Source organism: Homo sapiens, chromosome 20 (genome assembly GCF_000001405.40).
Source record: "Homo sapiens chromosome 20, GRCh38.p14 Primary Assembly".
NCBI lineage: Eukaryota > Metazoa > Chordata > Mammalia > Primates > Hominidae > Homo > Homo sapiens.
Genome location: NC_000020.11, coordinates 25,643,966 through 25,657,320, shown reverse-complemented (window position 1 = coordinate 25,657,320; position 13,355 = coordinate 25,643,966). Strand labels below are relative to the sequence as shown.

The 13,355-nt window shown below is 40.5% G+C and overlaps 1 long non-coding RNA gene and 1 pseudogene across 3 annotated transcripts in view; one reads left to right on the top strand and one right to left on the bottom strand.

Moving 5' to 3' along the window:
• The window catches only part of ZNF337-AS1 (ZNF337 antisense RNA 1), a 54,030-nt gene that overhangs the window by 20,754 nt on the left and 19,921 nt on the right, over window positions 1-13,355 (bottom strand). Inside the window, exon 2 of one of the 3 annotated variants that reach the window (NR_126465.1) lies at window positions 11,673-11,790. The exons of the other annotated variants lie outside the window; for them this stretch is intronic. This is a non-coding gene — a long non-coding RNA (ZNF337 antisense RNA 1). The remainder of the gene's footprint in view (window positions 1-11,672; window positions 11,791-13,355) is intronic. 3 annotated transcript variants of the gene reach the window in all.
• Window positions 2,440-2,726, top strand: RN7SL594P (RNA, 7SL, cytoplasmic 594, pseudogene; annotated as a pseudogene).

Below are 13,355 nucleotides of genomic sequence, written 5' to 3'. Positions count from 1 at the left end.
ACAGATTCAACCCAATAAGACTATCCCAAGGCATATAATAATCAAACTCTCAAGGGTCAAGGACAAAGAGAAGATCCTAAAACCACTGAGAAATAAGAAGCAAATAACATACAAAAGACCTCCAATGTGTCTGGCAACAGACTTCTCAATGGAAATCATACAGGACAGGAGGGAGTGGAATGACATGCTCAGTACTCAAAGAAATAAAAACTGCCATCCAAGGATATTGTATCCAAATGAACTGTCATTAAAATATTAAGGGGAGATAAAGTATTTCCCAGATAGAATTCACCACCACCAGACCCTTCTTGCAAGAAATGCTAAAGACAGTTCTTCAACCTGAAAGAAGAAAACACTAATGTGCAAAAGAAAACTTATTATTTTACATAAAAATGTATAAATTGGCTGGAGCATTGGTTCATGCCTGTAATCCAAGCAGCTTGGGAGGTTGAGGCTTGTGGATCACCTGAAGTCACAAGTTTGAGACCAGCCCGGCCAACATGGCAAAACCCCATCTCTACTAAAAGTACAAAAATTAGATGCATGTGGTTGCAGGCAACTGTAATCCCAGCTACTCAGGAGGCTGATGCAGAAGAATTGCTTTAACCCGGGAGGCAGAGGTTGCAGTAAGCTGCGATTGCACCACGGCACTCCATCTCAAAATGGAGTGAAACTCCATCGCAAAAAAAAAAAAAGTATAAATTGAGACAACTAAAAGTTAAAACGTGGGGGTAGGAATTAAACTGTAAAACTTGTGGGGGTTTTTTTGGCTTTGTTTGTTTCTATTATTTGGGATCTAAGATAAGTTGTCATCTCTTTTAAATAACTCATATCTATAAAAACATTTTTGTAAGCTTCATGGTAACCACAGCAGTTTTTATAATAGATCCACTACAAGTAAAAAGCAACAAATTAAAACATACTACAAGATAAGGAAGACAGTAAGAAAGGAAGAGACAAGTCTCAAAACAACCAGAAAACAAGCAACAAAATAGCAGTAGTAAGTCCTTACTTATCAATAATAACACTGAATGTAAATGTTCTCACTTCTCCAGCTAGAAAACATGAGTGGCTGAATGGATAAAGAAGCAAAAACCAACTATATGCTACCTTCAAGAAACCCATTTCACCTCTAAAGACACAGGTAGACTGAAAGTGAAGGGGTGGAAACAGATATTCCATGCAACTGGAAAATTTTAAAAAGCAGGACTATCTATACTTATATAAGATAAAATATGCTACAAATCAAAGACTATAAAAAAGAAAAGGAGGGTCACTGTATAATGATAAAGGCATCAATTCAGGAAGAGACTATAATCTGTGCACCCGGCTGGGTGCAGTGGCTCACACCTGTAATCCCAGCACTTTGGGAGGCTGAGGCAGGTGGATCACGAGGTCAGGAGATCGACACCATCCTGGCTAACACAGTGAAACCCCGTCTCTACTAAAAATACAAAAAATTAGCCGGGCATGGTAGCCAGCGCCTGTAGTCCCACCTATTCGGGAGGCTGAGGTAGGAGAATGGCGTGAACCTGCGAGGTGGAGCTTGCAGTGAGCAGAGATCGCGCCACTGCACTCCAGCCTGGGCAACAGAGCAAGACTCCGTCTCAAAAATAAATAAATAAATAAATAAATAATCTGTGCACCCAACACCAGAGCTCCCAAGTATATAAAGCAAACATAATAGCTCTAAAGAGAGAGTTAGACTATAATACAATAATAGTAGAGGCTTTTAACACTTCACTCTCAGTAAAGTACAGATCATCCACACGGAAAATTAACAAAGAAATGGCAGAGTTAAACTACACAAGATCTAATAGGTCTAACTGACATTTAAAGTAAATTTCGGCTGGGCACAGTGGCTCACACCTGTAATCCCAGCACTTTGGGAGGCCGAGGTGGGAGGATCACCTCATGTCAGGAGTTCGAGACCAGCTTGGCCAAAATGGTAAAACCGCGTCTCTACTAAAAATGAAGTAAAAAAAAAATTAGCCAGGCGTAGTGGCGCATGCCTGTAATCCCAGCTATTCGGGAGGCTGAGGCAGGAGAATTGCTTGAACCCAGGAGGCAGAGGTTGCAGTGAGCTGAGATCATGCCATTGCACTCCAGCCTGGGTGACAAAAAAAAAAAAAAAAAAAAAAAATTTCACCCAACTGCTATCGAATGCAGCAGTTTTACCAGTACATGGAACGTTCTCCAGAGCAGACCATACCTTAAGCCACAAACCAAGTCTGTATCAAGTCTGATTTCTATCCAAAAAAAACAAGTCTGACTTCTATTTGAAAAAATAGAAATCATATCAAGTATTTTTTCTGACCACAATGGAATAAAACTACAGAAATCAATAACAAGAGGAATCTCAGAAAAATACACAAACACATGGAAATTAAACAACATGCTCCTGAATGACCAATGGGTCAAAGAAAAAATTAAGAAGGAGCCAGGTGCAGTGGTACATGCCTATTGTACAAGTTACTCAAGAGGCTGAGGCTGGAGGATCACTTGTATCTAGGAGTTCTGGGCTATAGTATGGTATGTCAATTAGGTGTCCATGCTAAGTTCAGCATCAATACAGTGACCTCCTGGGAGCAGGTGATCATCAAGTTGCCCAAGGAGACTGGGAAGTGACCCAAGTTGGAAACAGGGCAGGTCAAAACTTGCATGCTGATCAGTAATGAGCTATGCCCAGGCAACATAGCATAGGCAACATAGCAAGATCATCTCTTAAGAAAAAAATAAAAGAAGAAATTTTTTTTTTCTCTTTTGAGACAGGGTCCTGCTCCATTACCCAGGCTGCAGTACAGTGATGTGATCACTGCTCACTGCAGCCTCAAACTCTCAGGCTCAAGAGATCCTCCTGCCTCAGACTCCTGAGTAGCTAGGACCACAGGCATGCGCCACCACAGTTGGCTAATTTTTTATTTTTATTTTTTAAAGACTGGTTTTTGCCATGTTGTCCAGGCAGGTCTCAAAATCCTGGACTCAAGAGATACACCTACAGTGGCCTCCCAAAGCACTGGGATTAACAGGCATGAGTTACCATACCTGGCCTAGAAAAAGGAAATTTTAAAATGTCTTGAAACAAATGAAAATGGAAATATGACATATCAAAGTCTATGGGATACAGGAAAAGCAATACTAACAGGGAAGTTTATAGCAACTAACGCCTATATCAAAAAAGTAGAAAGACTTCAAATAAACAACCTAACGATACACCTCAAGAAACTAGAAAAGCAAGAACAAACCAAACCCAAAATTAGTAGAAGGAAAGAAACAATAAAGATTAGAACAGAAATAAATGAAAAGAAATCAACAAAATGAAAAGGTGGTTTGGTGGGCTTTGTTTTTTGTTTTTTTTTTTAGACAGGGTCTCACTCTATTGCCCAGGCTGGAGTGCAGTGGCACCACCTCTGCTCACTGCAACCTCCACCTCCCAAACTCAAGCCATCCTCCCACCAAACAGCTGTGACTACAGGCATGTGCCCACACGCCCACCTAATTTTTGTATTTTTTATAGAGATGGGGTTTCGCCATGTTGCCCAGGCTGGTCTTGAACTCATGAGCTCAAGTAATCTGCCCACCTCAGCCTCCCAAAACGCTGGGATTACAGGCATGAGCCACCATGCCCGACCTTGTTTTTTTGGAAAGATAAACAAAATCAACAAACATTTATCTAGACTAAGAGAAAAAGAGAAAGATCCAAATAAAATCAGAAATGAGAAAGGAGATACAACAACTGAGACCTTAGAAAGGATTATTAGATACTATTGAAAGGAGTTATTTAGCTTGCCTTAGATAGATAACAAGGGAAGGGTGCCAGAGAGCCCCTGGCCCGTGGGTCAGTGCCTCATTCTCACATAACATAAAAAGCAGCCTGAGAGGCCCTGGCGGTGGCTCACGCCTGTAATCCCAGCACTTTGAGAGGTGGAGGTGGGTGGATCACGTGGTCAAGAGATCGAGACCATCCTGGCCAACATGGTGAAACCCTGTCTCTACTAAAAATATAAAAATTAGCTGGGCGTAGTGGCGTGCCGTCTGTAGTGTCAGCTACTCTGGAGGCTAAGGCAGGAGAATCGCTTGAACCTGGGAGGCGGAGGTTGCAGTGAGCTGAGATGGCGCCACTGCACTCCAGCCTGGTGACAGAGCAAGACTCTGCCTCAAAAAAAAAAAAAAAGCAGCCTGAGAAAAAATTTAGGCTGATAAGGGAACTAACACAGGGTGCTGTGCCTAGAGACATGCCCATGGTGGCACAGATAGTAAAACCTCTGGCCCTTTGGGATACAAACTTGTGCAAACCTCCAGCTCACTCAGATAAGAGAACAAGGCCTGGCATAGAAATGCCTTTGTCCTTTGTATACTCAGCAGGTTCTGAGGAAAAGTTTCTTCTCCTTTTGTGGGCATGGGCACAGTGGGCTCCGGTGGGTTCTAGTGGTCACTCTATTTTCCTTTATTTGGACTGTAAGTCCGGCTTCTATGAATTATCATTTCAGCCCGATTGGTCCCAGGCTAAGGTCCTGGGCCAAGCTTTCAATTCAGTTTCTGATAGGTCCTGGGCCAAGCTGAGCAGCAGCTATAAATCATCATTTCAGCTCCTGATTGGTTGCGGCCAAGGTCTCTGGGCCAAGCTGAGTTATGTGTTCTCCAAGACAGCCCAGGAACTAAGCACATTCCTTCCCCTTCCCAGTCCATAAAACCCGGGACGCCAGCCTCATAGTGGGCACCCCATTTGAGCCCCCCACTCTGCTGGCAGAGAGCTTTCTTCTTTCGCTTATTAAACTTTTGCTCTAACCTCACCTTTGTGTCTGTACTCCTTAATCATCTTGGAGGTAGGACAAAGAACTCCAGGTGTCATCTCAGACAAGGAGAGACTGTTACATCTTCATGCATTGCTGAGACTACAACACTATTATGAACAACTACACAACAAATTTCAAAATCTAAGAGAAATGGATAAAGTCCTAGACCTCTAAAGCCTACCAAGATTCAACCATGAAGAAATAGAAAACCTCAACAAACCAATAAGATCCAAGCCATAATAAAAAGTCTCCCATTAAAGAAAAGCCCTGAACCTGATGGATTTACTGCTGAATTGTACCATTAAAGAACTAATACCAATCCTACTCAAACTCCTCAAAAAAACTGAAGAGGAAGGAATACTTCCAAACTCATTCTACAAGGCCAGCATTACCCCAATACCAAAATGAGAGGAGGACACAACCAAAAAAAGAAAACTACATACCAATATCAGTGATAAACATAATGTAAAACTCCTCAACAAAATACTAGCAAACCAAATTCAACAACACATTGAAAAAGTCATTCACCATGATCAAGTGGAATTCATTCCAGGGATACAAAGATGGTTCAACGTATGCAAATCAACAAACATGATACAATTGCATTAACAAAGTCAATAACAAAAACCATTACTTCAATAGATGCCAAAAAAATTTTGATAAAACTCAACATCCCTATATGATAAAAAAAAAAAAACTCATCAAAATGGGTATAGGAGAAACTACCTCAAAATAATAAAGGCCATGTATGACAAACCCATAGCTAATAGCATACTCAACATAGATAAAGTGAAGGCCCCTCCTCTAAAGGCTATAACAAGACAAGGATGCCTACTTTCACTGCTATTATTCAGCATAATACCAGAAGTCATGGCCAGAGCAATTAGGCAAGAGAAGGAAGGGCATCCAAATTGGAAAGGAAGAAGTCAAACTAGCCTTGTTTCCAGATGACATTATCTTATAATTACAAAAACCTAAAGACTCCACCAAGAACATTATTAGAACTGATAAACGAATTTAGTAAAGTGGCAGGGTACAAACAAAACAACATATAAAAATCGGGAGCATTTATATATGTCAACAGTGACTGATCTGAAAAAGAAAGCAAGAAAGCAGGGCCGGGCATGGTGGCTCATGCCTGTAATCCCAACACTTTGGGAGGTCAAAGCGGGCAAATCACCTGAGGTCAGGAGTTTGAGACCAGCCTCACCAACATGGAGAAACCCTGTCTCTACTAAAAATACAAAATTAGCCTGGCATGCTGGCACATGCCTGTAATCCCAGCTACTCAGGAGGCTGAGGCATGAGAATCGCTTGAACCCGGGAGGCAGAGGTTGTAGTGAGCTGAAATCAGGCCACTGCACTCCAGCTTGGGCAACAAGAGCAAAACTCTATCTCAAAAAAAAAAAAAAAAAAATGAAAGAAAGAAAGCAATCTCATTTACAACAGTTACAAAATATGTAAGACACCCAGGAATAAATTTAACCAGAGAAGAAATATCTATACAAGGCTGGGCGTGGTGGCTCACACCTGTAATCCCAGCACTTTGGGAGCTGGAAGTGGGTGGATCACGAGATCTGGAGTTCGAGACCATCCTGGCCAACATGGTGAAACCCCATCTCTACTAAAAATACAAAAAATAAAATAAAATAATCAGCCAGGCATTCATGGTGGCATGTGCCTGTAGTCCCAGCTACTCAGGAGGCTGAGGCAGGAGAATCACTTGAACCCGGGAGATGGAGGTTGCAGTGAGCTGAGATTGCGCCACTGTACTCCAGCCTGGCAACAGAGTGAGATTCCATCTCAAAAGAGAGAGAGAGAGAGAGAGAGACAGAGAGAGAGAGAGAGAAAGAAAGATCCATACAAGGAACACTATAAAATTCTGATGAAAGAAATAGAAGAAGACAAAAATGAAAAGATATTCCATGCTCATGGTTTGCAGGAATTAATATAGTTAAAATAACAATACTACCCAAAGCAATTTACGGATTCAATGCAATCCCTCTCAAAATACCAATGACATTCTTCACAGAAATAGGAAAAAAAATTCTAAAGTTTATATAGAACCACAAAAGATCCCAAATAGCCAAAGCAATCCTGGCAACAAGAACAAACCTGGAGGCATCACACTACCAGAATTCAAAACTTACTACAAAGCTATGGTAAGTAAAACAGCACGGTACTCACATAAAAACAGACATATAGACCAATGGAACAAAACAGAGCACTCAGATGTACACCCACATATTTACAACCAACTCATCTTTGATAAAGGTGTCAAGACCATACAATGAAAAAAAGACAGTCTTTTCAGTAAATGATGCTGGGAAAACTGGATAACTATCTTAAAGAAGAATGAAATTAGAACCCTATCTCTCAGCATACATGAAAATCAAATCAAAATGGATTCAAGACTGAAATCTAAGACCTGGAATGATGAAAGTACCAGGAGAAAACACTGAGGAAATGCTCCAGGACATTGGTCTGGGCAAAGAATTTTGTATATGACCTCAAAACACACAGGCAACCAAAGCAAAAATGAAGTCCTAGCTAGTCAGGAGGCTGAGGTAGAAGGATCACTTGGGCCCAGGAATTTGAGTTTATAGTGATCTATAATTGAGCCACTACAGTCCACTCTGGGTGACAGAGTGAGGCCCTGTATCTAAAAAATAAAAAAAAGTAAAAAGATTAAAAACAGACAAAAGATCTTAACAGACACATCCCAAAAGAAGATATACAAAATGACATTTTGACACATAAAGACATACAAAAAGACAATGTACAGATGGCCAACAGGTATATGAAGCTATACTCAATATTAATAATCAAAGAAGTTCAAATCAAAACCACAATGCAATATCATCAATCTCACCCCAATTAAAATAGTCTGCATCAAAAAGATAGGCAATAACAAATTCTGGCAATGATGTAGAGAAAAGGGAACCCCCATACACTGTTGGTGAGAATATAAATTAGTACAGCTACTATGAAGAACTGTATGGAAGTTCCCCAAAAAAGTGAAAACAGAGCTACCCAGCAATTCCACTACTGGGCATATTTTTAAAAAGAAGAAAAAAGGAAATAAATACACCAAAGAGCTATCTGCTCTCCCACATTTGCTGTAGCACTATTCACAATAGCCCTAATACAATATCAACTTAAGTGCTCATCAACAGATGAATAGATAAAGAAAATGTGGTAAATATACACAATAAAAAATTATTCAGCCATTAAAATAATGAAATCCTGTTATTTATAGTAATATGGATGGAACTAGAGGCATTATGTCAAGCAAAATAAGCCAAGCACAGAAAGACAAATACCACATGTTCTCACTCATATGGAAGAGCTTTAGAGCTTCAGAGCTCTTACATGTGAGTAAGATACAGAGTAGATTGGTTGTTACCAAAGGCTGGGAAGAAGAAAGGTGAGTAGGAAGATAAATGGAAAAAATTATATAAATGTATTTATTACATTGAACTTGACACTTAAAATGGTAAAGATGGTAAATTATATACATATTATTTACCTTAATAAAGACAAAGGAAGAAAAAAATAGCAATTGGTAGAAGCTCAGCATCTTATGCTGCCTGAAGTGATGAAGGAGAACCAAGTGCAGAGACCCAAGAAGAAATGACTTCACATGCTATAGAAAGATTATGGGCTTTGAATTCATGGGACTGAGTTCAAATCCTGGCTTGCATTCTTACTATGAGATATTAGATGAGTTATCTGGCCTCTCTAAATCTGCTTCCTCCTTGTATAAAGGAGATAAGTAAAATAACTAAAGCAAGGGTGGGCCATAAGTGCTCAGTGAGTATCTGTTTCCTTCGTGTTTCCTCTTTCAGCCATAAAAAAAAGAGACACATCAGGCTAGGCACGGTGGCTCATGCCTGTAATCCCAGCACTTTGGGAGGCCAAGGCAGACAGATCACCTGAGGTTGGGAGTTCGAGACCAGCATGACCAACATGGAGAAACCCTGTCTCTACTAAAAATACAAAAATTAGCCGGGCGTGGTGGTGCATGTCTGTAATCCCAGCTACTCGGGAAGCTGAGGCAAGAGAATCACTTGAACCTGGGAAGCGGAGGTTGCAGTGAGCTGAGCCAAGATTGCACCATTGCATTCCAGCCTGGGCAACAGGAGCAAAACTCTGTCTCGAAAAAAAAAAAAAAGGAGACACATCACTGCAGTTGAGAAGTCCTTGCATAGGGGTGATGGGGGCACACCAAGGGGCCTATCATGAGTGCTGTATTCTTGAAGCATAAATCCAAGATATGAGGTTTTGCAAATCCAATATAAGGCTGCCACCCACTTGCCTTAGCCTAGGGTCCCCCAAAAGGCTTGTGCATAGGTAGCTTGTTTGCTAATGTGATTCTGGGGAGCAGAAATGCAGGATAAGGGGAGTGAAACAGAGCAAGGGAAAGACCACCACAAGGATGCATTATTAAATTGGCTGTTTGATCCCACTGGGACCTGTAGGGGTTTTCTGAAGCATCTCAAAACTGTCCATCAGGGGATGAAATGGGGATGCATTTATCCATTGACTCCAGATCTTCATCGGTCAAGAGTAGACCCCATGGCACTGACTTCCCATCACAGCTGGGTTGTGCTTGAGTGTGAAGTGGATGCCTAGGACTATTAAGCTGAAGAACAGAGATGCATAGGGCAGGAAGCAAATGATACAGTATGAGGGATGAGGTGAGGTCACTGCCCAGGTGCACCTGTGCAAAGCTGCTCAAAACATGCAGGGAAACAGTCCCCTACAGTTGTGGCTGAAATAAGAGGAGAAACAGAAAATTTTGAAACGGTGTACAAGAGGGGTCCAATACACTATCTTTCATGGGGATGCCTTATCTTTCTGCCTAGAAAGAAGGTGCTAAAGTAAATTTCTTGGAGTGTCTTTGGCCTTTCAAGTCTTCCATGATTCATGAAGATGAAACCAAAGCTTACTAAAAATCTATTGAATAGTAAAATATGAACACACACACATGACCAACTCAATTGATGCAGAAAAAAACTTGACAAAATTCAATGCCCTTTCATAATTACAGCCAATAAATTACAAGTAGAAGGACTCTATGTCAACATAATAAAAATTGCATATAAATAGGCCAGGCATGGTGGCTCACGCCTATAATCCCAGCACTTTGGGAGGCTAAGGCAGGCAGATCACTTGAGATCAGGAGTTTGACACCAGCCTGGGCAACATGACGAAACCCCATCTCTACTACAAATACAAAAATTAGCTGGGCATGGTGGCACATGCCTGTAATCCCAGCTCCTGGGGAGGCTGAGGCAGGAGAACCACTTAAACCCAGGAGGTGGAGGTTGCAGTGAGCTGAGATCATGCCACTGCACTTCAGCCTAGGCAAGCAAGACTCTGTTAAAAAAAAAAAAAAAAGGGTATGTAAAAAGCCCACAGCCAACATACTCAATGATGAAACACTGCAAGTTTTCTCTAAGGTCAGGAACGTGATCATGATGCCTGCTGTCACCGTTTCTATTAAACATAGTACTGGATAGTACTGGATGTTCTAACCAGAGCAATTAAGCAAGAAAAAGAAAACTCCCTTTCCCCTTCAACTGAGAAAGGAAGAAGTAAAATTATCTGTTTGCAGACAACATGATCTTATATGTAAAAACACAAGAGATCTTATATGTAAAAACACAGACACAAAATGTTAGAATTAAGAAATGAATTTGGCCGGGTGCGGTGGCTCACACCTGTAATCCCAGCACTTTGGGAGGCTGAGGTGGGTGGATCACGAGGTCAGGAGTTTGAGACCAGCCTGGCCAAAATGATGAAATCCCATCTCTACTAAAAATACAAAAATTAGCTGGGCATGGGGGCGGGTGCCTGTAATCCCAGCTAATCGGGAGGCTGAGGCAGAAGAACTGCTTGAACCTGGGAGGTGGAGGTTGCAGTAAGCTGAGATCACGCCACTGTACTCCAGCCTGGGCGACAGAGTGAGACTCCATCTCAAAAAAAAAAAAAAAATGAATTCATTATATTCAATTCAATTCAGTTCAAGTTGCAAGATACAAAATTTATACTCAAAAATCCATTGTATTTCTATACACTAAAATAAACAATCTGAAAAGGAAATTAAGAAAACAATTATGTTTGCAATAACATCAAAATTAATAAAATACTTAGGAATAAATTTAACCAAGGAGGCAAAGGATTTCTACACTGAAAATAACAAAATGTTGCTTAAAGAAGTTAAGTAAGGCACAAATAAATGGAAAGATGCACTGTGATTATGGATTGAAATAGTAAATATTGTTAAGATGCCAATACTATCCAAAGGGATCTACAGATTCAGTGCAATCTCTACCAAAATTCCAGTGATCTTCTTTGTAGAAATAGAAAAGGCCATCCTAAAATTCATATGAAATCTCAAGAGACTCCCAAATAATAAAAACAATCTGAAAAGATTAGAACAAATTCAGAAAATTCATACTTCCTGATTTCAAATCTTACTACAAAGCTATAGTAATCAAAACAGTGTGGTACTAGCATAGAGGCAGACATATAGATCAATGGAGTACAATAGAAAGCCCAGAAATAAATGCTTGCATATATAGTCAAATGATCATTGACAAGGGTGTTAAGACAATTTGGTGAGAACAGTTTTTTCAACAAATGCTGCTGGGAAAACTTCATATGCTCATGCGAAAAAAAAAAAAAAAAGGTATATCTTTACCTTACACCATATATAAAAATTGCTCAAGATGCATCAAAGTCCCAGAACTTTGGAAGGCTAAGCAGAAGGATTACTTGAGCCCAGGAGTTCAAGACCAGCCTGGGCAACATAAAGAGACCTCATCTCTACAAAAAATTTAAAAATTAGCAGGCTGTGGTGGCACTCACCTGTAGCCCCAGCTACTCAGGAGGCTGAAGCAGGAGGATCACTTGAGCCCAGGGGTTCAAGGCTGCAGTGAGCTATGATGTTGCCACTGCACTCCAACCTGGGTGACAGAATGAGACCCTGTTTCAAAAAAAGGAAAAATATTTTAAAAATTAATTTTAAAATGTATCAAATAACTAAATGTAAGGGATAAATCTATAAAACTCTTAGAAGAAAATAAGGGAGGAGGCCAGGCACAGTGGCTCACGCCTGTAATCCCAGCATTCTGGGAGGCTGAGGCAGGTGGATCACCTGAGGTCGGGAGTTCAAGACCAGCCTGACCAACATGGAGAAACCCATCTCTACTAAAAATACAAAGAAAATTAGTCGGGCGTGGTGGTGCATTGCTGTAATCCCAGCTACTCAGGAGGCTGAGGCAGGAGAATCGCTTGAACCTGGGAGGCAGAGGTTACGGTGAGCCAAGATCGTGCCATTGCACTCCAGCCTGGGCAACAAGAGTGAAACAACTCTGTCTAAAAATAAAAATTAAAAAAATAAAATAAAATAAAAATAAAAACAAAATAAGGGAGGAAAGCTTCATGACATTATAATGACATGATATTTGGCAATGATTTCTTGGATATGACATCATAAGCACAGACGACAAAAGCAAAATGGAACTACATCAAATTATAAAACTTTTGTGGACACTATCAAGAAAGTAAAATGGAAATTTACAGAATGGGACAAAAGATTTTCAAATCATATATCTGATAGGTGGTTAATATCCAGAATATTTAAAGAACTTCTATAACTCAACAAAAAAACCAATAACACATAATCCTAAAATGAATAGGAAACCACAAAAGACTTCAAGTAGTCAAAGCAATCTTAAGTGAAAATAACAAAGCAAGAGGTATTACACTACCTAACTTTGAAATATACTACAAAGCTATAGCAACCAAAACAGCATGGTACTGGCATATGTGAAAGGAAAATAAATCTTGGAGCCCCAAAAATCACTAAGCTAAAGGGGAAAGTCAAGCTGGGAACTGCTTAGGGCAAACCTGCCTTTCATTCTATTCAAAATTATCCCTCTGCTCACTGACATAAATGCATATCTGATTGCCTCCTTTGGAAAAGCTAATCAGAAACTCAAAAGAATGCAACCGTTTGTCTCTCATTTGTCTCTCACCTACCTGTGACCTGGAAGCCCCCTCCCTGCTTGAGTTGTCTTGCCTTTCTGGACAAAACCAATGTACATGTTACATATATTGATTGATGTCTCATGTCTCCCTAAAATGCATAAAACCAAGCTGTCCCCTGACCACCTTGGCACATGTCGTCAGGACCTCCTGATGATACAGGATATAAAAAGAAATTATTTGGGCAGATAGTGAGGGCAAACGAGTCCTTGGCAAAACTTCTCTTCTAACAAAAAGCAGCCCTAGAAATAATTTCTTTTCTAATACAGAGCAGCCTGAAAGATAGAGCTGCAAAGACAGAAAAGGAAGCTGGAAGCTTGTACAGGGGGAGGCCTGTGGCTACAACAATAAAAAAGGGCTACCTGGGGGCCATGCATGCCCACCATGGGGCTCCACCTTCCCTTTATTGTTAGCATGTATACAGTAAGAAATGGGCAACATGAAGAAGTTCAGGCACAGAACCCACCTGCATAATAAAAAATTGGGGCAGAGGCTGCCAGA